We start from the raw sequence: 26,590 nt of genomic DNA, 5'->3' as shown, positions 1-26,590 counted from the left end.
AGCAGGACCCTGAGGATGGCTCACCTCTGCACAAAGCCCTCCAGAAGACTGTGCAGGACATGGCTCCGGTACCGCATGAGGCGGACGTCCTGAGGTGTGCTGTCAATACATTGCCCATTCAGGATAGGGCGTTCAAACATGTTGCTGAACTCCTGCCGGGTGCCAAGGAAGTCTGGGCGCACAAAGTCCACCATGCACCAGTACTCAATGAGGTTGTTTTGCAGAGGGTACCCAGTCAGCACCACCCGGCGGCGAGAGCGGATATTCTTCAGAGCCTGTGAGGTGCTGGCCTGGCAGTTTTTGATGCGGTGTCCCTCATCACAGATTACTACATCAGGGCCAGGGCGGCATAAAGCCTTCTCAAACTCTAGGGAGGGAAGAGGATCCGGAGTCAGAGGGTGACAGGGCCTGCTCTTAGTCAATAATATGAGAAGTAGGGGTGCACCCTGGAGGAGACAGAAGAAATGAAGGAAGCAGGAAAGCAAGAGTCAGCCCCCCTTGGTGAGAGGGTGCCAGCCATTCAAGCTCCTGGATATGACTGGTATGACTTGGTATGAATGCTAATCTGGCAGTTGACTCTTTTTTTTTCTTTTTTGAGACAGAGTCTCACACTGTCGTCCAGGCTGGAGTGCAGTGGCGCAATCTCCGCTCACTGCAACCTCTGCCTCCCGGGTTCAAGCGATTCTCCTGCCTCAGCCTCCCAAGTAGCTGGGATTAGAGGCATGCGCCACCATGCCTGGCTAATTTTTTGTATTTTTAGTAGAGATGGTGTTTCACCATGTTGGCCAGGCTGGTCTCGAACTCCTGACCTCATGATCTGCCTCTGGCAGTTGACTCTTGCAATAAATATCCCTTTCCCCCGTTCCGTTCCTTTCCTTACTTTATTTTTCTTTATGTGAAAAGTATAACTGACTTGCATTCCTAGGGCTTAGACCAACTGGGCAGCAGAGAGAGGGACCTTACAGAGTGCCAGCCTAGGATTAAAAATGCACCTGGATGAAACCAATAGGAATAATCCAGACACTTTAGTAGGCTCTCACCATTGCCAGCGTCTTGACTCCATCTGAGGGCTGGCTGGTAGGAGCTAGCTAAAGGACAGGGTCTTCCCGCAGTTATTTTCCAGTCATTGCTAAATGGCAAATTCATCCCAGCTCTACCATAGAAGCAAACCTAGAACAAACATAATCTCATAGATGAAGAGACTTCTAAAGTGAAATGGCCTCTGAACCCTTAAAAACATTCTTCCCCAAATGAGCAAAGGCCCCTTAGAAGATGGAGTAGAATTAGAACTATGACAGGAATGGTTTTCACTAAAAACAACTGGGATAAATTCTTTTTTATAAATTCACAAACAATAGTATTACTACTTTGTCTTTATATTAGTGATTTAAACACTTTATATTTTCTTCATGCTTTCTCAGAACATCTCTAGAAAGTGGTAAAGGAAATGGTTACTATTCCAACTGTTCTGTAAGAGAAACAGGGATAGACGAACAGAGGAATCTCCCCCAAGCCAGTGTGTGGCCTGGCCTAACCATAACTGCACAGCTGGCAGAGAAAGCAGTACCTTCTCAGAGCCATTGGAAGTCATCCTACTGATCTTGGGAACCAGGATTTTTGGTCCATGATAACAATTCACATCAATAATGCACTTTACATCTGACTAGGTGCTATTAGTAGACATGATTTCTTTTTTCCTGAAACACCAACAAGAGTATTCCTGGGATAGGCTGCCCACCTCTCCGAAACTCCTGCTGCCGATCTTCCTCATCTAGATCAATGATGACTGGGTGAGAACGCTTCTTGGTTTTCTTCGGTCTACCTGTGGCAAATGATTTCTTCAGAGTGAGGAGTCTGTACATCTCGTACCCCATCAGCAGCACGCCACCCTCTGACACCCAATCAGCCATCACTTTAGCACGAGATGCCATCGTCCTGCAAGATGAACAGAGAAAATTGTGTGAGATGTGAATTATATCTCAAGAATTATTGTTTCTGCTGCTCCCAAGGAAGAATTGCTCACAATCAAAGCTGTGTTGATGTACATTCAGAACTTCTTATTACCAAAGATTTCATGTGGCAGCAAGCACAGGGGTAGCCTACCACCCAAGAACCTCCCATCATCCCAGAGAAACTAATTGCACTCAGGATGAACTGGATCATTGATGGTGGTTAAACAGCAAGAAACATAGCAATTCAACTACATAAGGCAAGAGAAAATGACAACCCCCTTGGATATTCAGGCATGACTACAACTCAACATTTGAAGGAGCATTTCAATCCCATGATAAATACAAGGTCACAGAAGGAAGGGCAACATTCTGCAGTTTACTTGCCTGGACTCAAGTGAATAAAGAGCCACAAACAGTAAAGAGGAAAGAGGAGAAGAGACCAGATGACCCTCAGTAAGTCACTCCACTTCCAAACACCGGAGCACTCACTGTATTTCACTGATTGCATGTGGACTAAAAGTCCTGAATGAGCAACCACCTGTGAGGTCAACTAATCATCTCCTCATTTTTATGTGTGTGTCCAAACATCACAAAAGGCACCCTCTGAAAAAAATATAGTAAAGTCTACTTTCTCAATTATCCACACCAATGAGGGGAAAGGTTAGCATGTAGAGCTGGTTTGTTGGATCAAGAAATAGCTTTAGACTTTTGGAAATCAGGTTGACTTTATGGCATACATATATAGATAATTTTATTTAAATCTAAAACAAAGCAAGGCTGACACCTTTCAAAGCTTTGGGAGTTGTACCATTAAAGGTCAATTGCAGACCAGTGCTTAAAAGAAGTGACTAATGATTAGGTTTTTAAGAAAAGTGAAATGTAATAAGTAAAAAATTAGACAGTAGAGACCAGGCATGGTGGCTTACGCCTGTAATCCCAACACTCTGGGAGGACAAGGTGGGCGGATCACCTGAGGTCAGGAGTTCGAGACCAGCCTGGCCAACATGGCAAAACCCTGTCTCTACTAAAAATACAAAAATTAGTCGGACATGGTGATGGGTGCCTGTAATCCCAGCTACTCGGGAGGCTGAGGCAGGAGAATCACTTGAACCTGGGAAGCAGAGGTTGCAGTGAACTGAGATTGCACCACTGCACTCCAGCCTGGGTGACAGAACAAGACTCCGTCTCAAAAAAAAAAAAAAAAAAAAAAAAAAAAATCAGACAGTGGAAAGATCCATTGTTTCGTGTTGAATTTTACTACGATATGCATGGGAAAATATGACCATGCCCACATATTTTTCAAGATATAAAAGCCTCCTAAAGCAGAACACAGGAAATTTCTCAGGCTACTTAACTCTGGCTTTCCTGAAAAGCTAGGTAGAGAAAAAAATGAGTAGCAAGAACAGAGAAAGTGATACATCAGGAAACCAAAAACAAATCTAGATGCACAGGCTACACACTCAAAGAGACTGCCTTAACATCAGATCACGGACAGAAGTCTAAAAGGAAAGGGGCAGAGAGGAAAGGGCAGGCCACCTACTTGTGCTCATCATTCAAGATGTGAACTTTAAAGAACCGAGGCTGGACTTCTTCAGGCTTGTTGTCAGCCGGGAGGGCTTCAGGAGGTGGAAGCCACATGTTGAACTCTGCCAGCCAATTCTGAAGAGTATTAACCTATTAGAAAGCCAAGTCCAAAAAGAGAGTTTTATGGAACAAACTCAGAGCTGAGCTCATCAAGCTTTTTGGTGCCCAGTAAAGGCATTAACACAGAGCTCTTCAGGAGTGACTTAAGTGGTGCCTTCCCAAAAACTCTTACCGGCACAATGGCAAGGACTGTTTTGGCTGGCGTGTGGCGGAAGAGGACGTCGATGAAAGAGATCACTTGCAAAGTTTTCCCCAGACCCATGCTGTGGGCCAGAATACAGCCAAAGCCACTGCTGGTCTTAAACCTCTCCAGAGACTCCACTAGGTTATCGTAAAGGAACCGGATCCCGCCAATCTGACAAGGGACAAAGACAAATGTCAGAGGGGCTCACAAAGATGAGGGCTCCAGTTTTTACTCACTTTGTAATTAGTAAGAATTAAGTAAGTGAGAAGGCGTTATAATAGATAGCAGGTGTGGATGGCCATAGAAGATTCCCTGTACCTTGACTGATCTATTTGCTGGTGACAGTCCTCTTGGAAAAAACAGAAAAGGATTCACTAGTACAGTGTAACACCCCATGTAATGCATGAATCGGTAGTGTCAAATTCCTGACAGGATCTTTCAGTCAGCTTGGCTTCCCTCAGCATTGGAAAGCTCACCCTCTTAAGGCAGCCCATTCCATAGGAGTAGTTTGTTTTTGTTGTTGTTTTTGAGACAGAGTCTGGCTCTGTCACCCAGGCTGGAGTGCAGTGGTGCTATCTCAACTCACTGCAACCTCTGCCTCCCGGGTTCAAGCGATTCTCTTGCCTCAGCCTCCAGAGTAACTGGGATTACAGGCATGCGCCACCATGCCCAGCTAATTTTTGTATTTTCAGTGGAGACAGGGTTTCACCATGTTGCCCAGGCTGGTCTTGAACTCCTGACCTCAGGTGACCTGCCCCCCTCGGTCTCTCAAAGTGCTAGGATTACAGGCATGAGCCACTGTGCCCAGCCACATAGAAGTAGTCCCTATTGCTAAGAGTTCTTTTTTTTTTTTTTGAGACGGAGTCTTGCTCCGTCACCCAAGCTGGAGTGCAAAGGCGCAATCTCAGCTCAGTGCAACCTCCCATTTCCCCGGTTCAAGTGATTCTCCTGCCTCAGCCTCCAGAGTAGCTGGGACTACAGGTATGCACCACCATGCCCACCTAATTTTTGTATTTTTAGTAGAGACGGGGTTTCACCATGTTGGCCAGGATGGTCTCAATCTCCTGCCCTGGTGATCCACCCACCTCGGCCTCCCAAAGCGCCAGGATTACAGGCACGAGCCATCGTGCCCAGCCTTAAGAACTCTTTAACAGGCCAGGCATGGTGGCTCGTGCCTGTAATCCTGGCGCTTTGGGAGGCCAAGGTGTGCAGATTACCTGAGGTTGGGAGTTCAAGACCATCCTGGTGAACATGGTGAAACCCCGGCTCTACTAAAAATACAAACAATTAGCCGGGTGCAGTGGTGCACAACTGTAATCCCAGCTACTTGGGAGGCTGAGGCAGGAGAATCGCTTGAGCCTGGGAGGCGGAGATTGGAGTGAGCCGAGATTGTGCCACTGCACTCCAGCCTGGGCTACAGAGTGAGACTTCGTCTCAACAACAACAACAACAACAACAGAAGAGTTTTTAAGCTGAGTTATGCACAATAGCCAAAATACGTAATCAACCCAAGTGTCTATCAGTGGAAGAAAGGATAAAGAAAATGTGGTGCCTATGCACAATGGAATATTATTCAGCCACGAAAAATGAAATCCTGTCATTTGCAGCAACATGGATGGAACTGGAGGTCATTATGTTAAATGAAACCCGCCAGGCACAGAAAGACAAATATCACACATTCTCACTCATGTGGGAGAACTAAAAAAGTTGATCTCATGGAAGTAGAAAATAGAATGGTAATTACCAGAGGCTGAGAAGGGAGAGGAGGGGGAGGAAGAGACGTTGGTTAATGGGTACAAAAATACAGTTAGACAGGTCAGGCATGGTGGCTCACGCCTGTAATCCTAACACTTTGGGAGGCCAAGGCAGGAGGACTGCTTGAGCTCAGGACTTCAAAACCGGACTAGGCAACATAGTGAGACCTCGTCTCTACAAAAAAATTAAAAATTAGTTGGGCATGGTGGCATGAGGCTGTAGTCCCAGCTACTTAGGCTGAGGTGGAGGATCACCTGAGCCCAGGGAGTGAAGGCTGCAGTGAGTCGTGATCACTGCACTCCAGCCTGGGCGACAGAGCAAGAGCCTGTCTCAAAAACAAAGAGTTTTCAGCCAGGCACAATGGCTTAGGCCTGTTATCCCAGCACTTTGGGAGGCTGAGGCAGGTGGATCGCTTGAGCTCAGGAGTTCAAGATCAGCTTGGGCAACGTGGCGAAACCTCATCTCTACAAAAAAAAAAAAAAAAATTGGCTGGGTGTGGTGGTATAGGCCTATAGTCCCAGCCTGAGAAACAGAGCAAGACCCTGTCTCAGGAGAAAAAAAAAAAAAAAAAAGAGTTCTTAATCGTAAACTGAGTCAATGTCTGTCTTCATGGTACTTCTACTCACTAGTCCTGGTTCCAGGCTCTGGATCAACACAAACTACTCTACTCCCTCATACCAGAAAGTCCCCCCATCTTCTGACTCTCACATCTCTTCTAGATCCAGACCTTCCTAATCAAAGCACTGCTCACCAGAGAGCACCTCAGTCATGGGATCCCACAGAAAGAGGCTCAAATTATTAGGTCAAGAGATCCAGTGCTTTCTACGGAGTAGGGCAAACCTGAAGCTTGTCTCTTCCCTTTCCCTGTCCCTTCCTATTCATCAGGAATCCTGAAACATCAACTGCTAGAAGGAAGTATCAGGTCTTTCCAACAGCTGAACAAGCTGCTCTTGGTACCAAACAAGTACTTCACAGGCTGTGACGCTAATAACCACCAGCAGGCAATGTTCACAACAAGGAAACAAAAAGGAAAAGGAGAAAACAGTCAAGGTTTGCTGTACCTGATGAGGTTTCACAGCCCGTGCCAACTGTGGGGCAAGGAAGACATTTTCCTCCTCTGGAGGGTGGTTTAGGTTGACAAGGACCCGCCCAAGGGCGTCACGCTGGTTTAAGACATCATTGACATGGGTGCCACCCTTCTCTTCTTCCTCATCATCTTCACTGACAGATTCACTGCTGTCCACAATGTGCAGAGTGTCCTCCTCTCCAGAGCTCAGTTCAATCACCTCTGAGACAGCAAAAAAAAGCAAAACCAAAAATCCAGGGAGTGAAGATAATTTACTGCACACAGTCAGAGCAGAAGACTACAGAAACTTAAAGTTAGAACTTGTCAACACTTATTAAAATTTTGACTTTTACTATTTCTCTCTTTCAGCTTCAAGTTAAGACAAGCAAAAAACTTATATTTACCAAGGAGACACAGGGAAATTAGTCAAAGCCACATCCCAAATTGAAGGAGGAAGGACTGGACTCTTTTCAAAGTATAGCCGATCTCAGCATGAACACCAGGTCGGAAGAAAGGGAGGCACCTGGTTTGATCTTACCATCTCGACTGCTTTTTTCATCCTCACTGCCACTGCTACTGTCCAAACAAATGACTTCCTGGGCCAAGACCCGAGGAGGCAGTTGGGGACCGTCACTTGCCCTTAAAGCAATTTCCTCTAGGAAAAGCAAAATGGAAGGGAACGGTGTCAAGACCACATTTGGCTCTAACATATTTCCCAAAACAATTCACCACCCCTTTTCTTTTATAGCTCTCATGGGGAGTATCCACTGAGAAGAGAAGCAGAGCCCATCTCAAAAACCTCAGCCCTCCTTCCAAATTCCCTTTCTCTACTGGTTTTTCCTTCCTGCTATCCACCTGACCACCAGAAAAGGTCCCAATCCTTTGGTAAGTTAAAATCCAAAGTTATGAGGAAAAATCTAGATAAAACCTATTTAAAGAGTACATTTTTATTCATTTTAGCTTTTTAAATGATCTTCTTCTGATTGTGTGCTCTCAAGAAGCTGAATGACTTTAAAGGATTCCTGAGAGGCCACAATTATTTTTATTTTTATTTTTATTTTTTTGAGATAGAGTCTCACTCTGTCACCTAGGCTGGAGTACAGTGGCGCAGTCTCAGCTCCCTGCAACCTCCACCTCCCTGGTTCAAGCTATTCCCCCTGCCTCAGCCTCCTAGTAGCTGGGATTACAGGCTCACGCCACCACGCCCGGCTAATTTTTTTTTGTATTTTTAGTAGAGACGGGGTTTCACCATGTTGGCCAGACTGGTCTCGAACTCCTGAACTCAGGCAATCCATCTGCCTCAGCCTCCCATAATGCTGGGATTACAGGCGTGAGCCACCGCGCCCAGCCGAGAGGCCACAGTCTTATTCCAGATCTGCTTTTGACCACTGTGTGCACCTAGGGCTTCTTCCTCCTGAAGCAAAGGGCCTTCCCTGCCATGTCCACTGCTTACCAGGGAGGAACTCCAGCGGAACAGTAGGAATAGGGGCTGCATAATCTTTCCTCTGCTGCTCCAGGCGCTTCCTTCTTTCCAACTCTTCTTGCTGTGCTGCTTTGGTAACAGGCTCCAATTGATCCTCCCGGAGTAGCTTTCTAAACATTCACATAAGAGACAGCACTTGGGTTCAATTAAGATTTGGGCAATGTAATGGCAAGCTAAAGAGAGAAATAGCCATTGATGATCTCAGAGTCGAGGCGGGAGAAGGAGAAGCCACATCAGCCCCACCATACCCATGCAAGGAGCAGCATTCAAAAAACAGGATATCAAACTCAGATGGCTCTAGGCTAATACTTTCTATATTATTTAACTCCCCGACCTGCCAACTCATCTCTCCACATAACAGATCAAGAATAAACTAGAGTAATATTTGATTCACAAAGCTGAAAAGCAGTATTAAAAATAGTGTTGTTGGCCAGGTGTGGTGGTTCACGCCTGTAATCCCAGCACTTTGGGAGGCTGAGGCAGGTGGATCACCTGAGGTCAGGAGTTCGAGACCAGTCTGGCTAACACGGCAAAACCCCGTCTCTACTAAAAATACAAAAATTAGCCAGGTGTGGTGGTGCACACCTGTAGTCCCAGCTACTCAGGAGGCTGAGGCAGGAGAATCGCTTGAACCTGGGAGGCAGAGGTTGCAATGAGCCAAGACTGCACCACTGTACTCCAGCCTGGGTGACAGAGTGAGGCTTCATCTCAAGAAAAAAAAATAGTGTTGTCATGTAGAAAAGAAATTAGGATTGGCCGGGCACAGTGGCTCATGCCTGAAATCCCAGCACTTTGGGAGGCGAAGGTGGGCAGTTCACTTGAAGCCAGGAGTTCAAGACCAGTTCAGCCAACGTGGCAAAACCCTGTCTCTACTACAAATACAAAAATTAGCCAGGTGTGGTGGCGGGCACCTATGGTTCCAGCTACTCAGGAGGTTGAAGCACAAGAACCGCTAGAACACGGGAGGTGGGGGTACAGTGAGCCAAGATCACGCCACTGCACTCCAGCCTGGGCAACAGAGAGAGACTTTATCTCAAAAAAAATAAATAAATAAATTAAGAAAAGAAAAGAAACTAGGGTTACAGGGATTCTATATTATTTTCAAACTCAGAGTAATATTTCAAGTTGTCGTTATTTTTTTTTTTAAGTGGAGGCAGGAGGAGAAAAAGATATCATTCATTTCTTTTCAATGGCACGCATTGTTATTTGATGGAAGGAAGAACTGTTGGGGATTTGGATAGTTAAAGAAGTTCACATTTTTGCTCTTAGAAGGAGTCTTGCTTTGGGTCAGACAGTCCTCTACCATTTGAAGTTGACGTCTAAGAAGATGAGAACTCAACTTTATAAAGTCTCCTCTTGTTTTGAGACAAAAGGAAAAATAGAGGAAAAACCGGAAAGTCCAGCTCAGAGCACCCTATCATCTTCGGGCTGCCACCTGGGGCCTCCAGAGAGTAGAAGACCCTCCAGCAGTGGTCAAGGCCTTTCTCATTCTCCCTACAGTCCTCTGAATGCCCAAGTCCAGTGATCCTGAGCTGCACCTTCACTATTAATGAAGACACACACCTGACACTTTTCTCCTTTGGAGAGAGAACTGTCCTTCCCAAATCAGTCTTTTTGCTATTGACAGCCTTAAGATGAAGGTAAAATCTCTATTCCTTTCCCTCTCCTCTTACACAGAGCACAGCTCACCGTATGTTTCTTCTCATGTGGGAGGGCTTCTGAGCTCTCTTCTTTTTGGGGTCCTCGGAGGCTAGGTTCTTGCCTTGGTGGCGCCTAAGCTGCTCTGAAGGCTCAGACTGAGATGAGGTAGTTGAAGTGCACCGCGGCGGCTGCTGCCCATCTTCTCCCAACTGGGCATGCTCAGTGCCACACATGCCTTCCAGGGATGGGTCTGAAAAAACAAGGGGAAAGACATTGCTTTATAGGGGTGAGGGGGAATGAGTCTGGATGACAGACACACCTGGGTTCAAATCTCAACTCAGCAACTTATTAGCTGGTAATCTAAGGCAAATTCTTTATATCTCTCTGAACATCAGTGGATGTATCTACAAAATGAGGATAGTGAGGCCCATACCTCAGAGCTATTGTGAGGACTGCATAGCGTGCATGCCTAGAACCAAGCCTGGCCCAGAGTAAGCCCACAACAAATGATAGCCATCACTATTACTGTAGTTTAGTGCTATGATCAGAGTTAGTAAGTTTCATGGCCTCAGAATGCTCAGAAAGGGACAAACTGAGCAGCTAGGCTCCAAATATAGCTCATACCCAGTGGTATGACTCTAAGCAAGTCCATTCACCTCTCATCTGTCTTAAAGCATTCACTCACTCAAACTTGCCAATCATTTCATGAGGGCTTATGGCAAGCAATATCCTAGACGCTTCAAGGGATATTTGTAAGATTCCTTCCCCTCATGAAGTTTAGAAGGTTTTGTAAGACTCCTTCCCTTCAAGAAGTTTGTGTTCTGCTTAGGGAGACAGGGCATGTACAAACACAGACTCAACATGGCAAGGTGTGCTATATATCACAGGAAGGGCAGATCAACAGATATAAAGAACTTTAAGGTTGAAGACATCACAGGAATTTGAAAGATACTAATACATGTAATGATCATGAAGGAACTATATGGGAGGTAAAATGTGAGTCAGGCCTTGAAAGATAAGCAGAATGTCTAAAGGTAATGCCTTAAAAGATAGTTGGGGGCTGGGCGCGGTGGCTCATGCCTGTAATCCCAACTCTTTGATAGGCTGAGGCGGGAGGATCACCTGAGGTCAGGAGTTCGAGACCAGCCTGGCAAACACGGCAAAACCCAGTCTCTACTAAAAATACAAAAATTAGCCAGGCATGGTGGCGGGCGCCTGTAATCCCAGCTACTCGGGAGGCTAAGGCAGGAGCATCAATTGAACCCAGGAGGCGGAGGTTGCAGTGAGCCAAGATCACACCATTGCACTCCAGCCTGGGCGACATAATGAGACTCCCTCTTAAAAAAAAAAAAAAAAAAAAAAAAAAGATCGTTGGGGGTCCAGGGGATGTCATTTGTAACATCCAATACCAGCAAGGACTGGGGTTGGAGTAGGCGGATCCATGTGCATACCCCTGTCCTCAGCCTGCTGAGTAGCATTCTGTTCACTGGGTAGGCAGGCTTTGAGAGTCACATAGACCACAAGCCTGTCCCCAAATTCATCAGAGCCTCCCAGACACAGGCACTACACAACCAAAAGGTCTTTCCCAAAGGTAACAAGAATTCAGAACTAGAATATAAATGCCAGAACTGAGGTGCTCTAGACAATGCCATTTGGATCTCAGGCAGGAAGGACCCAGGAACTTTGTGGGGTTTTTTTGGTTGTTTTTTTTTGGTGGGGTCGGCGGGGTTGGAGGGCTGGTGGCTTATTGTTTGCTTTTAACTATAGACTTTATTGGGATTTCACCAGTTTTCCATTAATATCCTTTTTTCTGTTACAGGACCCCATCCAGGATACTATGTTGCATTTAGCTGTCATGTCACCTTAGTCTCCTCTAAACTATGGCAGCTTCTCAGTCTATTCTGGTCTCTCATGACCTTTAACACTATTTTTTTTTTGTAAGAGATAGGGTCTTGCTCTGATGCCCAGGCTGCAGTACAGTGGCACAATCATACCTCACTGTAGCCTCAAACTCCTGGACTCAAACGATCTCCCAGCCTCAGCCTCTCAGGTAGCTGGGACTACAGGTGCATGCCATCACACCCAGCTAATTTTTTTTTTCTTTTTTGTAGAGACAAGGTCTCGATATGTTGGCCAGGCTGGTTTCAAACTCCTGGCCTCAAGTGATCCTTCTGCCTCACATTCCCAATGTGCTTGGAGTATAGGCATGAGCCACTGCACCAAGCCTCACCCACTAATTTTAATGTTCATCGGTGGGTCTTACCTAGAGCCAATTATTACTGTGGTATGTTAATGGTGGTTTTCTATTTTCCTCTTTCCTTCTACATTTATTATTTGGAATTTTTCTGTAGGGAAGAATTGTCCTATTTATTGATTGATTGGTTGAGATGGAGTTTCACTCTTGTTGCCCAGGCTGGAATACAATGACACGATCTCAGCTCACCTCAACCTCCGCCTCCCGGGTTCAAGCGATTCTCCTGCCTCAGCCTCCCGAGTAGCTGGGATTACAGGCACGTGCCACCACGCCCAGCTAATTTTGTATTTTTAGTAGAGATGGGGTTTCTCCACGTTGGTCAGGGTGGTCTCGAACTCCCGACCTCAAGTGATCCACCCACTTCAGCCTCCCAAAGTGCTGGGATTACAGGAGTGAGCCACTGTGCCCGGCCTCCCATTTATTTATTCAACTTTTTTTCTATGAGTATGTAGTCAAGTGTCTTTGGGGTAAGAAACATTCAACCTGAGAGCCTTTGGTAAAGAGAGGTGGGGCTGTCATTAAGTCTTGATGAATGAACCTGTAAGCTGATGTTCCCTAGGCCAAAAGAATGATGTACCATGGGTCATCATCCTATGCACTCAGCCACCACTAAGAAATAACATATGGGCTGTCTTACCACTCACTGGCTGAATCAGGGAATTGTGAGTATCCATGTTACTGCTCACCTTCCATAGCTTGGTATGGCCTCCTCCTTGTCATATTACTACTCCAGTTTCCTTATGGTCCCTTTCATGTTGATGCCAGATTCTAGAACAGCATGAAGTTCAAAACTAATGTTTGCCACAAGTTAACATGGCATAGGGGTTCAGTAAGGACACTGGAGCCAGACTGATGGAGTGTGAACTCCAGCTATGCCCGTTATTATATCTTTCTGTTCATGTTTAAAAACGGACTGGAGGAGAACAATTGTAGTAACCTCTAAGGGTTGTGGTGATGATTTTATAAGATAGCCTAAATTAAGAACTAAAACAGGCCAAGTGTGGCTCACGCCTGTAATCCCAGCACTCTGGGAGGCCATGGTCAGGGAATTGCTTGAGCCCAGGAGTTTGAGACCAGCCTGGGCAACATAGCAAAACCCCATCTCTCAAAAAAAAGAAAGAAAATAAACTAAATTAAATTAAAATGAGCATGGTGTCATGCACTTGTGCTTGTAGTCCCAGCTACTCAAGAGGCTAAGGCAGGAGGATTGCTTAAGCTTGGGAGGTGGAGGCTGCAGTGAGCCATGACCACGCCACTCACTGTACTCCAGCCCGGGCAACAGAGCAAGACCCTGTCTAAAAAAAAAAAAAAAAAAACCACACACACCAGAAAGAAAGAACTAAAACAATGTCTGCCACATAGTAAACACTATATTTAAAAAACAAACAAACAAACAAAAAACAGCTGCTGCTTTTACTATGACTACTACTATTCCAGGTATGAGGTATGGATTGTTTTTTACATTACCTCCTTTCTCCCTTATAATAACTCTACGAGACTTTTGCTCCCCTAATTCTAAATATGAGAATTTTTGCTCCCCTAAATTCTTTTTTTTTTTTTTTTTTTTTGTGAGACGGAGTCTCGCTGTGTCACCCAGGCTGGACTGCAGTGTGGCGCAATCTCGGATCACTGTAAGCTCCACCTCCCAGATTCACACCATTCTCCTGCCTCCACCTCCCAAGTAGCTGGGACTACAGGTGCCCACCACCATGCCCGGCTAATTTTTTTTGTATTTTTAGTAGAGATGGGGTTTCACCGTGTTAGCCAGGATGGTCTCGATCTCCTGACCTCGTGATCCACCCGCCTCAGCCTCCCAAAGTGCTGGGATTACAGGCATGAGCCCCCATACCCAGCCTTTGCTCCCCTAATTCTAAATATGAGACATTGAAGCCCTGAGAAGTTATAAATATTTGCCCATGGGTATATAAGAAATAAGCAGAAAAACAGGAGCAGGCAGTTAAAAGTATGAGCTTTGCATTTAGGCAGTACTGGCTTTAAATCCTGTAGCTCTATGTTTATGGATGCAACTTCTCTGAGCCACAGTTCCCACATCTGCAAAATAGGGATGTCAATGGTTATCTTGTGGAAGATACTATTCTTCAAACCCTTATCTGCCTAACTCCGTGGAATTCCATACTCCCAACTACATTGAATGGTCTGGGAGCATGCAAAGCTTGGGGGCCTTGGTCAGACATGCTGAGTGATGACATTTGTGTAGAGAATTCAAATCTCAATTATATTTCCCAATCAAAGATCAGAAATAAGAAAGCAAAGGGGGAAGCAGAAATGACATGTGCAAACTGCATCTTGTTGTCACAAAATGAATGTTTCTTACACACACATACTGCCTCGATGAAATTGTAGACTACACTTTCATGTTAAACCTCTCCACGTGAGACTACTACAAACCAGCCACTGTTGCCTCTCCTGCTCCCTGCTTTCAATTTAGCCCAACACACATATGAACATCTGCTAGGTTCCAGGCCCTGTGCCAAGGCACAGTGGAATAGACCACATGGGGAAACACATATGCTATATGGAAAGTGCCCAAGAGCAGTAACACTTGAGGAAAAAACACCAAATCCAGCCTTACTGGCTGGGCATTGGGGCGCTTCCTTGGGAAGAGCGAGACCTGGGTTTGAAATAACAGAATGGGTAGGCACCAGCTAAAATGAAGGAAGTAAAGCAGCAACAAGAAGGACCTTCCAACCCAACAACCACTTTCCTGTCCCCTTCCTGGAGCTCCTCATCCAAGGGAGACTTAGGTGAGGATCCAAGATCCTTCTCTGGATGCTGGTACAGAAGTCAACCCCTGTCCTGGGTAAGACTACTCCCAACCCTCTCCTTCCTGGCATTCTACTTTCCACTGCCCTGGTGTTTGGGTGGACATGGGAGACTAATGTGATTACTGTAAAAGTGGACAGATGGGTGGGTCTCGCATGTGGATGCCCAGGATGATTCACTCCCCTGCAGCAGCACTGGCAGCAACTTCCTTGGCCCTCAACTGAGAGACGGTTTCGGGTAGACAGCTTTTGCTTTTCAAAAAGCAAAGGAGAAATGGTCAAGAAAGGCATCAGACAAGAAATGCTCATGATGGGACACTGCAATACCATTAACATAAACAAGAGGTTAAAATGTCACACTCCTTTCTCCATTACCACCGGTCTGTAATAGGCCTATTACAAAAAGCCTCCCAAAGAAAGCAGAGGCTAGGGTGGCAAGCAGCACTAGGAATGTACTGCGTGTGTGAGCCTTGGTTCATGGACATGTTCTACCTGCTGAGGAAACAAAGGGCCATTGCTTATGTGCCCAGCCAGACATGAGAACTAAAAGAGAAGTTTCAAAGTAGAGCTCCAAGTGTGACTAGCTACCCTCTCAAATTCACTAACCTCTTCAAACAGTGCTCTCCAATTTCCACCTGAAACATCAGATTTGAGCAAGTTCAGCAATTCCCTGTTTTCCTTTAAAAGAACTATCATTCTTTCTGGCCCTCTACCCCTCCAAAGACCTAACACTTCCACAGCATTTTCACATAATACTGCTGTCAACTTCTTCCTACTTCACAGCCCTGAATTCTTCCCTCCTAAAAGGGGAGGCCATCAAATTCCTCATCCCAAACAGTTGGCTGGGCAGCAGACTCCCCAAGAGAGGATATCTACTGCTAAATGACTACTTCCACCAATACTGCAACTTGGCCTACAACATACCGACTACACTTGAGGCTGGGTTGGCACACTTCAACTTAGTGTTTTGCTGGGTCCTCTGGCCTGATTCTGATAATGACCTCTGATGCTCTCCTGGTCTTTTTTGTTTTGTTTCTATTTCACAAGCAAATTTATTGAGCAATCACTTGGAGGAACAGTTGGAGGCAAGATTAGAGAGTAGGCAGATAGGACAGAGTCAGAGAACAGAGGGCAAGTCCAGAGGGTTTGAAATTGATCTGCTGGGCAGGGGGGAACTTTTTGCCAACTGCTGTATTTCCTTGTTCTGGCTTCTGCCTTGTGGAATGGGCTGTTCCCGGGAGGAGAAAGAATGGAACCTGCTGACCTTTCAATATCACCAACAGATTTATTATCAAACATTCATCCCAAGTTATAAGGCTTGTGGCCCACTGTGAACTCCTGTCTGACATGAGGCTGAATGTGGCCAAGTGCAGTAACAATTTTAAAATCATCAGGCACAGTATATTTAATTCTCATGCCTTATACAGATGATACATGTCTAAACCAGTTCCTTACCACCCAGCATTCTTTGAATGAATCCTCAGCTTCTGGGTTCAACAACTACTTTTAGCTTATTAAAGGAATTTAGTTTACAGATGTGCTAATATTTAAAGTTCATTGTCATGTAAATACATGTCTTTCAAGTGCTTCATTTTTGCTGTTTCATGATGATTATGGTTTTTACATAACATTATAATAGATGCTATACCTTTAATAAACTATTCTTAATAAAAAATCTGTTATTTCAAAAATTCTATAATTAAATTTCCTTCAGTCAAAATGTAACTTTTCACTGTGTTGTTTTTTTTTTACCTTCTGAACACTGAATCAAGTGAATTCACAACCTAAGCAAAATAATGTAACTTCCAAAAAATAGCCCTTCCCCAGATTCTAGACTATAACCCACCAACAGTTACTGAGAGAAAAGAAAAAAAGTTCAATAAGGAGGTAAAGAGACATGTGCTTTGACAGACAACAAATGTAAATTAAATTAGTATCTGCATAGTTTAAAAGTCAATGACTATTACTACCACAGTTCAGGATTACAGAATCAGGCCTAGTTGCAAATACCCCTGAACTTTCTCCTTCACGTGAGCCAGCTGTGAGCAGTAACCACAAGAGTTATATAAACACCAAAGAACACTTACATAAGTTTCTTGGGAATGAATTATGAACACCACCACTATAAATTTGACTAGGCAAATGAGTAGCTTTGAAAGAAAAATTCCTACGTTACATTCAATGAAGGTACAAGGTACAAACACTTCCAGGACTCTTTCCCCAGGGGTTCCATCTCTTCTCTCTCCTATTGTATAAAAAAGATGAACTGAACTCCTGAGACATGCAATTTACCTATATAACAAACCCACACATGTACCCCTGAACCTAAAAGTTAAAAAAAAAAAAAAAAAAAAAAAAGACCAGTAGGACCAGGCCCAGTGGATCACGCCTGTAATCCCAGCATTCTGGGAGGCTAAGGTGGGAGGATCACTTGACCCCAGGAGTTCAAGACCAGACTGGGCAACATAGAGAAACTGCCATCTCTACAAAAAAAAAAAAAAAAAAAATTAGCTGAGCATAGTGGTGCAGGCCTGTAGCAACCCTGGAGGCTGAGGTGGGAGAACCGCTTGAGCCCAGGAAGTTGAGGCTACAGGGAGCCAAGGTTATACCACTGCACCACACTCTAGTCTGGGCAACAGAGCAAGACCCTGTCTATTAAAACAAAAAAATGAAAAAAAAAGACTCAAAGTCTCACCATATTTCTCCTGATGTGATGCAACTGGATGCACACACTACAAGCTACGATGTCTGTGTGCCAAAAACTCTGCACCGGAGCCTGAACACACCTTAAGATCTCACTCTTAGTTTACAAAAATACAGAGGACAACAGCAGAATGCAGTCTCTACAATACATAATGCACAGAGATATGCATTGTTTAATCAAAATTCACTAGATATGCAAAGAAACAGGAAAATATGATCCATAGCCCAGAAAATTCAGTCAAGAGCAATGTAGATAGACTAAGCTGTTAGACTGCCAGCCAGGACCTTCCTAAATTGCTTACCTTCAGAAGCCAAGAGAAATAATATTGTTTAAAGCCACTAAGTTTCAGGGTGATTTATGACACACCAGTAGTAATTGAAATAGAAATTTGGTATATCGGTCCTGCCACACACAAAAAAATTAAACCATGACACTGTATTTGAGATAATGTGGTGAATGGAAAACTGGAAAGGCCATGAGGAGACCGGTAGTAAAAGCCTACAGGTCATCAAGGACATTGTTGGTAAAGTATAAAGGAAAATGTTATAGGAAACTGGAAAAAAAAAAAAAAGAGAGACACATTGCACTGTGTCAGAAACTTTAGCAACTCTGTCACCTGCAATAATATGAAAAACAGAGATTGAATCCAGAGCAGGCCTATGAGACCTTTTGTTACAGTCTCAAAAATATTTAAGATAGTGCCTAGACCAGGCGTGGTGGCTCACGCCTATAATCCCAGCACTTTGGGAGGCCAAGGCAGACGGATCACGAGGTCAGGAGTTCGAGACCGGCCTGACCAACATGGTGAAACCCCACCTCTACTAAAAATACAAAAAATTAGCCACGCGTGGTGGCGGGTGCCTATAATCCCAGCTACTCAGGAGGCTGAGGCAGGAGAATTGCTTGAACCCGGGAGGCAGAGGTTGCAGTGAGCTGAGATCACGCCACTGCACTCCAGCCTGGGCAACAGAGCAAGACTCTGTCTCAAACAAACAAACAAACAAACAAAAAAGATAGTGCCTCACAGACCTTTTCCAACAGACAAGAGGCCTCCTGAAGATCTTAAAGGCATACCTAGCAGACCTTCTCCATTAAACAGAGCTTAGAAAAATCTTAGAATATTATCCCACAGCAGCTTCAGCAATTTCCCACCCACATTCAAGGGAAAGAAATTAGAATCCACCTCTCAATTGGAGGAGTATCAAGGTCAACTCTAGAAAACCATGTGGGATAGAAGATATTGTTTTATTTATCTATGGAAAAAAGTCTGCCATATTCCACTCTCTGGCCACAGTAACTCACATTCTTGTCATATGCAAAATATACTTCCCTCTCTGAAGAACCCCCCCAAGTCATTACAGCGTCAGCTCAAAGTCCAAGATCTTATTGTCTAACTCAAATTGACATATGGATGTGGCTCTCCACTGTAGTTCCTTGGATACACTTCTTAAGTATAGTTTCTCTGTCCTTCTTTCTTTATTTTTTCAGACAGAGTCTTGCTCTGTCACCCAGTCGGGGGTACGGTGGCACAATCAATGCTCACTGCAGCCACCACCTCCAGGATTCAAGCAACCAATCCTCCCACCTCAGGCCCCTGAGTAGCTGGACCACAGACACACACCATCACATCTGGCTAATTTTGTAATAAAGATTTAATAAAGCAGGACACAAAAAGCTCAAATCACAAAGAAAAAAACTGGTAAAATGTACTTCATCAAAATTTAAAACCTCTGCTCCTCAAAAGACACCCACAGAAAAAGGAAAATCAAGTCACAATCTGGCCACAATCTGGTGCAGTGACTCACGCCTGTAATCCCAGCACTTCGGGAGGCCAAGGCAGGCAGATCACGAGGTCAGGAGAGCGAGACCATCCTGGCTACTAACATGGTGAAACCCTGTCTCCACTTAAAAAAAAAAAAAAAAAAAATACAAAATATTAGCCGGGCATGGTGGCACGTGCCTGTAGTCCCAGCTACTCCGGAGGATGAGGCAAGAGAATTGCTTGAACCCAGGAAGCGGAGGTTGTAATGAGGCGAGATAGCACCACTGCACTCCAGCCTGAGCGACAGAGTGAGACTCCGTCTCAAAAAAAAAAGACTTACATATCTAGAAACATGTATGTATTAAATATACATTATTTATTATATATTTAAAATGTGGTGTGTGTATTTATATTTTAGAGACAGAATTTTGCTCTGTCACGAGAGTTGAAGTGCTGTGGCACAATCATGGCTCACTCACTGCAGCCTGAAACTCCCAGGTTCAAGTGATCCTCCTGTCAAGTAGTTCTCCTGAGCAGCTGGGACTACAGGCAAGCACTACCACACCTGGCTAATTTTTAAATTTTTTGTAGAGACAGGGTCTCACTATGTTGCCCAGGCTGATCTTAAACTCCTAGCCTCAAGTAATCCTCCCGCCTCAGCCTCCCAAATCTCTGGGGTTACAGACATGAGTCACCATACCTGGCCTAGAATATATTTCTAAAACTCTTGCAATTCAGTAAGACTACACAGAATCCAATAAAAAGGGGCAAATGAGAAGAAACAGATACTTTACAAAAAGAGACATACAAATAGCCAATGAACATGTGAAAAGATGCTCAATATCATTAGAAAAATGCAAATTTAAAATATGAGATGACATTTGACACTCACTAGAATAACTAAAACTAATAACAAGTGCTAACGAAGATGTGGGGCACCTGGAACTCTCATACACTGCTGGCAGGAGTAAAGAGTGGTATAATCACTTTGGGAAACACTTTGGCAGTTTCTTATCAAGTTAAACACATCTATTATATAACCCAGTGATTCACTTCTTGGTATTTTATCTAAGAGAAACGAAAACATATCTATAATTTTGAAAAAAACAGCAAACCATCTCTAGATGAACGTTCAGAGCAGCTTTATTCATAAGAGTCAAGTGTCCATCAACAGATGAATGGATAAACAAGTTTTAGTACACTCATACAATTGGAATACTAAACAATAAAAAGGAACAAACTATGGACACGTGCAACAACACAGATGAATCTCACAGACATTATGCTGAGCAAAAGAGGCCATACACAAAAGAATATGTATTGTATAATTTCATTTACATCAAATTCTAGAATAGGCAAAGCTAATCTATAATGACAGAAATCAGTTCATTGGTTGCCTGGAAAATTAAAGCCCAAAAAGAGGAATTTCTGGGACCATGGATATTTTCTTTTCTTTTCTTTTCTTTTCTTTTGAGACAGAGTCTCACTCTGTCACTCAGGCTGGAATACAGTGGCATGATCCCCATTCACTGCAACCTCCGCCTCCTGGGTTCAAGCAATTTTCCTGCCTCAGCCTCCCAAGTGGCTGGGATTACAGGCGCCTACCACCAAGCCCAGCTAATTTTTCTATTTTTAGTAGAGACGGGGTTTCACCATGTTGGCCAGGCTGGTCTCAAACTCCTCACCTCAGGTGATCCATCCACCTCAGCCTCCCAAAGTGCTGGGATTACAGGCATGAGCCACCACGCCCAGCTGACAGTGGATATTTTCTTTACCTTGATTATTACCTGGATGTATACAACCAACAGTCATGTACATGTGAAATATGTGAGTTTTATTGTATTTAAATTACACATTAATGCTGACTTTTTAAAAAAAAACTTACGATATTGCTAAAGTTATGCTTAGAAGGAAATACATAGCCTTAAATGAACACGTTTAAAAAGAATGAAAGGTAAAAAATCAATGATATAAATTTTCTTCTCAAGAAATTAGAGATACCAGAAGTTGGAAGGGTAGGGAAGAGAGGATGAAGAGAGATTGATTAATGGGTATAAATATACAGTATAATAGAAGAAATAAGACCTAGTGTTTGATAGATCAGTAGGATGACTATACAATACTCTACTGTATTATTTCAAAATAGCTAGAAGGGAATAATTTAAATGTTTCTAGCATAAAGAAAAGATAAATATTGAAGGTTATGGATATCCCAATTATACTGAATTGATCTTGAAAAATATGAATGTATTAAATTATCACGTGTGCCCCCCAAATATGTATATTATGCATCAATTTTAAAAAACTTTTTTTGAAAAAGAAGAAATTAGAGAAAGAACTAGAAATTAAACCCCAGAAAAGTAGTAGGAAGAAAACAAAAAGCAGATTAATAAAACAGAGAAATGAAAAATAATGTTAAGAATAAAAACATTGTAATATTCTTTATAAACCAGACATAAGTTTAAAAAAAGAACAAAACCACAACCAAAACTTGATTGTTTTGAAAAGACAAGTACAAATGCTGCCTCCTCAGAAGACTCCTGACCACTCTAGCTGAAATAGGCCCTTCCTCCCCACTGCTGGGGCTCACTCCTTTATTGTCTACATGATTTTTACCAAGATCTTACCAATTTTAGTAATTTGATCAAACATTTGTCATCTGTCTTCCCTTCTAGAATGCAGCTCCTTGAGGGCAGGGATTATGTCCATCTCATTCACCATTGTATCATTATGCCTGACAAAAATGCCTGTCACATAACAGACATTCAATAATTAATTTTAAATGAGCTTAGTTTTAAAATTTTGCCGCTAGAGTAAAATATGTATGAATAAAAAATCCACTGAGGTATATCAGATCTTATTCAATATGTTTATTTATCATCCACAACCACACGTAGATATTCTCTGTGGACCACGCTTTCCCTAACTCTTCATGTTATACAAAGCCAATATATTTGCCAAGACGCCTAAATAAATTAAAAGCTCGGCTGGGAGCAGTGGCTCACGCCTATAATCCCAGCCCTTTGGGAGGCCAAGGCGGGTGGATCACCTGAGGTCAGGAGTTCAAGATCAGCCTGGCCAACATGGTGAAACCCCATCTCTACTAAAAATACAAAAAATTAGCCAGGCATGGTCGTGGGTGCCTGTAATCCCAGCTATTTGGGAGGCTGAGACAGGAGAATCGCTTTAACTCAGGAGGCAGAGATTGCAATGAGCCAAGATCACGCCATTGCACTACAGCCTGGGCAACAAGAGCAAAACTCCATCACAGAAAAATAAAATAAAATAAAATAAAATATTAATTAATTAAAAACTCATGCAAACCAAAATGTAATTCACCTTTGAAATAGTCATGAAGCCAGTTTGAGAAAAAAAAAAAATTCCTCATCATATTTACACCCTGGGATGAAAAAAATCATCATAGCATTAATATTAAAGACTGTTAGGGGGTTCTAATTTAAATATATCTTTAAAAATGAGATTAGAGGCCAGGCGCCAGTGGCTCCCGCCTGTAATCCCAGAACTTTGGAAGGCCAAGAGAGGAAGATTGCTTGAGCCCAGGAGTTCAAGACCAGCCCAGGCAACACAATGATACCTTGTCTCTACTAAAATTTAAAAAATTAGCCCGATATGGTGGCACATGCCTATATTTCCAGCTACTAGAAGGCCAAGATGGGAGGTTCACTTAAGCCAAGGAGTTCAAGGTTGCAGTGAGTTATCATTGCACCACTGCACTCCAACCTGGGCAACAGAGCAAGATCTTGTTTCAAAAAAAAAAAAGAGATCTGAGAGCAAGGGGACCAAGATCATTCTGACTGCTCAAGAAACAACCTAAGCCAGGTGTGGGGTGGCTCATGTTTGTAATCCCAGCGCTTTGGGAGGTTGAGGCAGAAAGATCGCTTGAGGTCAGGAGTTCGAGACCAGGCTGAGGAACACAGCAAAAGCCTGTATCTACAAAAAATAAAAAAAAATTAGCTGGGCATGGTGGCGCATGCCTATAGTCATAGCTACTTGGAAGGCTAACATGAGAGGATTACTGGAGGCCAGGAGATCTAGGTTACAGGGAACTAAGATCATTCCACTGCCCTCTAGCTTGGGCAACAGAGCAAAACTCTGTTTCTAGAGAAAAAAAAAAAAGAAACAGAACATGAAGAAATGAAATGGCCAGCCTTCCCACTCAGCTCTCACAAGGGATGGGAACAACTACAAACCATTTTTAAAAGATAGCAGGGCTACACAGGGTTTCTCAACCTTAGCACTACTAACATTTGGGATTAGATAATGCTGTGGTGGGAGAAGCTATCCTCATGCTGTAGGACGTTTAGCAGCATCCCTGACCTCTATCCACTCGATTCCAGTAGTAGCATCCTGATCGTAACAACCAAAAATATCTCCAGACATTGACAAATGTCCCCTTCAGGGCCAAATCATTCCCAGTTGCGAATCACTGCTTTAGCAGAATTAACGCTAAAACAGTAGTAACAAAACAATCATTCTTAAACACAACTACGTACCTTTTTTTTTTTTTTTTTTTGGAGACAGAGTCTCACTCTATCGCCCAGGCTGGAATGCAGTGGCATGATCTCAGCTCACTGCAACCTCCGCCTCCCAGGTTCAAGCAATTCTCCTGCCTCAGCCTCCCGTAGCTGGGATTACAGGTGCACGCCACCATGCCCAGCTAATCTTTGTATTTCTACCACAGACAGGGTTTCACCATGTTGGCCAGGCTGGTCTCGAACTCCTGATCTCGTGACCCACCCGCCTCAGCCTCCCAAAGTGCTGGGATTATAGGCGTGAGCCGCCACGACCGGCCTACATGCCTTTTTAACCATCTTAAATTCTATCCCTGTATTGAAGACAGAATTAATTTTGACTCTGCTCAGCATCACGATGATTTTTGGCCACCACTGCAACCATAGGCAAGAATTACCATGTTCTCAGCAAACCAGCCACAAAGTGGGAACGTCTCAGCTAGAGGTAAAAGAAGAAAGACTAAGTTTGATAACTTGAAGGATTCTAGTTAAATTTCTGAATAACACAGAGTTATGAAACCACATGCGTGGGGCCGGGCGTGGTGGCTCATGTCTGTAATCCCAGCATTTTGGGAGGCCGAGGCGGGTGGATCACAAGGTCAGATGGAGACCACACTGGCTAACGTGGTGAAACCCCATCTCTACTAAAAATATAAAAAAATTAGCTGGGTGTGGTGGCAGGCGCCTGTAGTCCCAGTTACTCAGGAGGCTGAGGCTGGAGAATGGCATGAACCCGGGAGGCAGAGCTTGCAGTGAGCCAAGATTGCGCCACCACACTCCAGCCCGGGCAACAGAGCGAGACTCGTCTCAAAAAAATAAATAAATAAAATAAAGTACATGCCTTTTCTACTAAAATCTTACAGACAGGGTAATATCAAGAAAAATTTCAGAAAGTCCAAACTTTTAAAATCCAAATTAAAACTGAAGACACTGATGAAAATCATATTCCAATCTTTAAAGTATGCCTCTCCTATGTCCACTTACTTTTTCACTCATGAAATAAATGACTATGAAACAATGGAAAAGATTGCTTAAACTGACTACAATAAAATTACAGGTTTTTTTTTTTTTTTTTTACAACAAAGACCATCATGAACAAAGTTAAAACATAAGCCACAGACTAGCTGTTACTAACAACATAAGTATATAAGTAACAAAGGATTAGTATATCTAGAATACAAAAATAACACTTACAAATATGTAAAACACTGTTATCTCACATATCCAAACCTAACATCACTGCATCACTGCTTCAGAAATTTGAGCTGATTCTTTTTTGTTTGTTTGTTTTGTTTTGTTTTGTTTTGAGACAGAGTCTTGCTCTGTCACCCAGGCTGGAGTGCAGTGGTGCAATCTCAGCTCACCACAACCTCCACCTCCTAGGTTCAAGCGATTCTCCTGCCTCAGCTTCCCAAGTAGCTGGGATTACAGGTGCCCACCATGCCCAGCTAATTTCTGTTTTTTTAGTAAAGATGGGGTTTTGCCATGTTGGCCAGGCTGGTCTTAAACTTCTGACCTCAGGTGATCTGCCCGCCTCAGCCTCCCAAAGTGCTGGGATTACAGGCATGAGCCACTGTACCCGGCCTTGAGCTGATTTTTAAAAGTACTCCCCCACTTTCTCCAATCACTCAACTTCATTATTCCATCAGTTATGAGAAAAGATCCACTAATTTTATGTTTTTAACCAAAGTCCTTATACCAAAGCCAAACATAAATGCTGAATCACATATTTAGTTTGATTTCCCTCATTCCTTCCATCTCCCAGAATTCCAGAAGCAATCTTATACGTAGCCATCACCACACATTAAGGATGGGAAACTCTACCGCCCAGGGACCAGAGAACATAGAGCTAGGTCCTACCTGAAAATGGCTGCAGCTCATTCAAAAGTACTGTATGAAAGGAGAGAAGGTAGGCCAGGCGCGGTGGCTCACACCTGTAATCCCAGCACTTTGGGAGCCCGAGGCGGGTGGATCACGAGGTCAGGAGTTCATGACCAGCCTGGCCAAGATGGTCAAACTCGTCGTTAGTAAAAATATAAAAATTAGCCGGGCGTGGTGGCTGGCACCTGTAATCCCAGCTACTCGGGAGGTGAAGGCAGAGAATTGCTTAAACCCGGAGGCTGAGGTTGCAGTGAGCCAAGACTGTGCCACTGCACTCCAGCCTGGGCAACAGAGTGAGACTCCATCTCAATCAAAAAAAAAAAAAGAAAGAAAGAAAGGAGAAAAGGTTAACACTCCCCTTGACAAGGATGAAAGAGGCCCTCAGTCTGACAATACACATACAGTTAAGGCAAAGCCACCTACTTTGAGGCATTGAACCACAGCTTTTATAACTAAAAGAATATAGTTGGATTGTTTGCAACATAAACAGTAAATGCTTGACGAGATGGATACCCCACCTTCCATAATGCGATTATTATGCATTGTATGCATGTATCAAAACATCTCATATACTCCATAAATATATACACCTACTATGTACTCACAAAAATTAAAAAAAAAAAAAAGGCAACAAGCAATCCTTGGTCCCTGTTAACCCATCTGAACCCTTCCTTCCAGGCACTGCCAAAGGATTCAAGTGACAATAGGTTGGAGAGGAAACAAGAGCTCCTCTTACAATTTTACCTCCAAGGGTCTCTCATCTCTCTAAGGGAAAAAAAAAAAAATCTGTTAAAGGAATGGGCTAGGTATCTGAATAGGAGAACAGAGGTGATAAAATATTTTCTTGCTTACTTCCCAAAGTATGAGTAAAACATGGGAAGAAATAAAAATAGCATTAAAGCCTTAAGCATATTATTCTTGGAAACCTCAGAATCACTAAAGGGCCAGT

General features: G+C 43.6%; 1 protein-coding gene and 1 pseudogene across 6 annotated transcripts in view; one reads left to right on the top strand and one right to left on the bottom strand.

Annotated features, from left to right (window-relative positions):
* Positions 1–26,590, bottom strand: part of RAD54L2 (RAD54 like 2) — a 129,942-nt gene that overhangs the window by 31,133 nt on the left and 72,219 nt on the right. For 5 of the 6 annotated variants that reach the window (NM_001322253.2, NM_001387866.1, NM_015106.4 and 2 more), the window contains 8 exons: positions 9,774–9,975; positions 8,055–8,194; positions 7,140–7,256; positions 6,597–6,823; positions 3,769–3,951; positions 3,493–3,626; positions 1,739–1,935; positions 25–367 (listed from right to left, as the gene is read on the bottom strand). In NM_001322253.2, coding sequence (NP_001309182.1) covers positions 25–367; positions 1,739–1,935; positions 3,493–3,626; positions 3,769–3,951; positions 6,597–6,823; positions 7,140–7,256; positions 8,055–8,194; positions 9,774–9,975 — 1,543 coding nt within the window. The remainder of the gene's footprint in view (positions 1–24; positions 368–1,738; positions 1,936–3,492; positions 3,627–3,768; positions 3,952–6,596; positions 6,824–7,139; positions 7,257–8,054; positions 8,195–9,773; positions 9,976–26,590) is intronic. The other variant, NM_001387867.1, reaches the window with a different exon arrangement.
* Positions 25,966–26,090, top strand: RNU6ATAC29P (RNA, U6atac small nuclear 29, pseudogene; annotated as a pseudogene).

The sequence above is a fragment of the Homo sapiens genome, chromosome 3 (genome assembly GCF_000001405.40).
Source record: "Homo sapiens chromosome 3, GRCh38.p14 Primary Assembly".
NCBI lineage: Eukaryota > Metazoa > Chordata > Mammalia > Primates > Hominidae > Homo > Homo sapiens.
The sequence above is the reverse complement of the archived record's forward strand: the minus strand, read 5'-3'. Positions and strand labels throughout refer to the sequence as shown.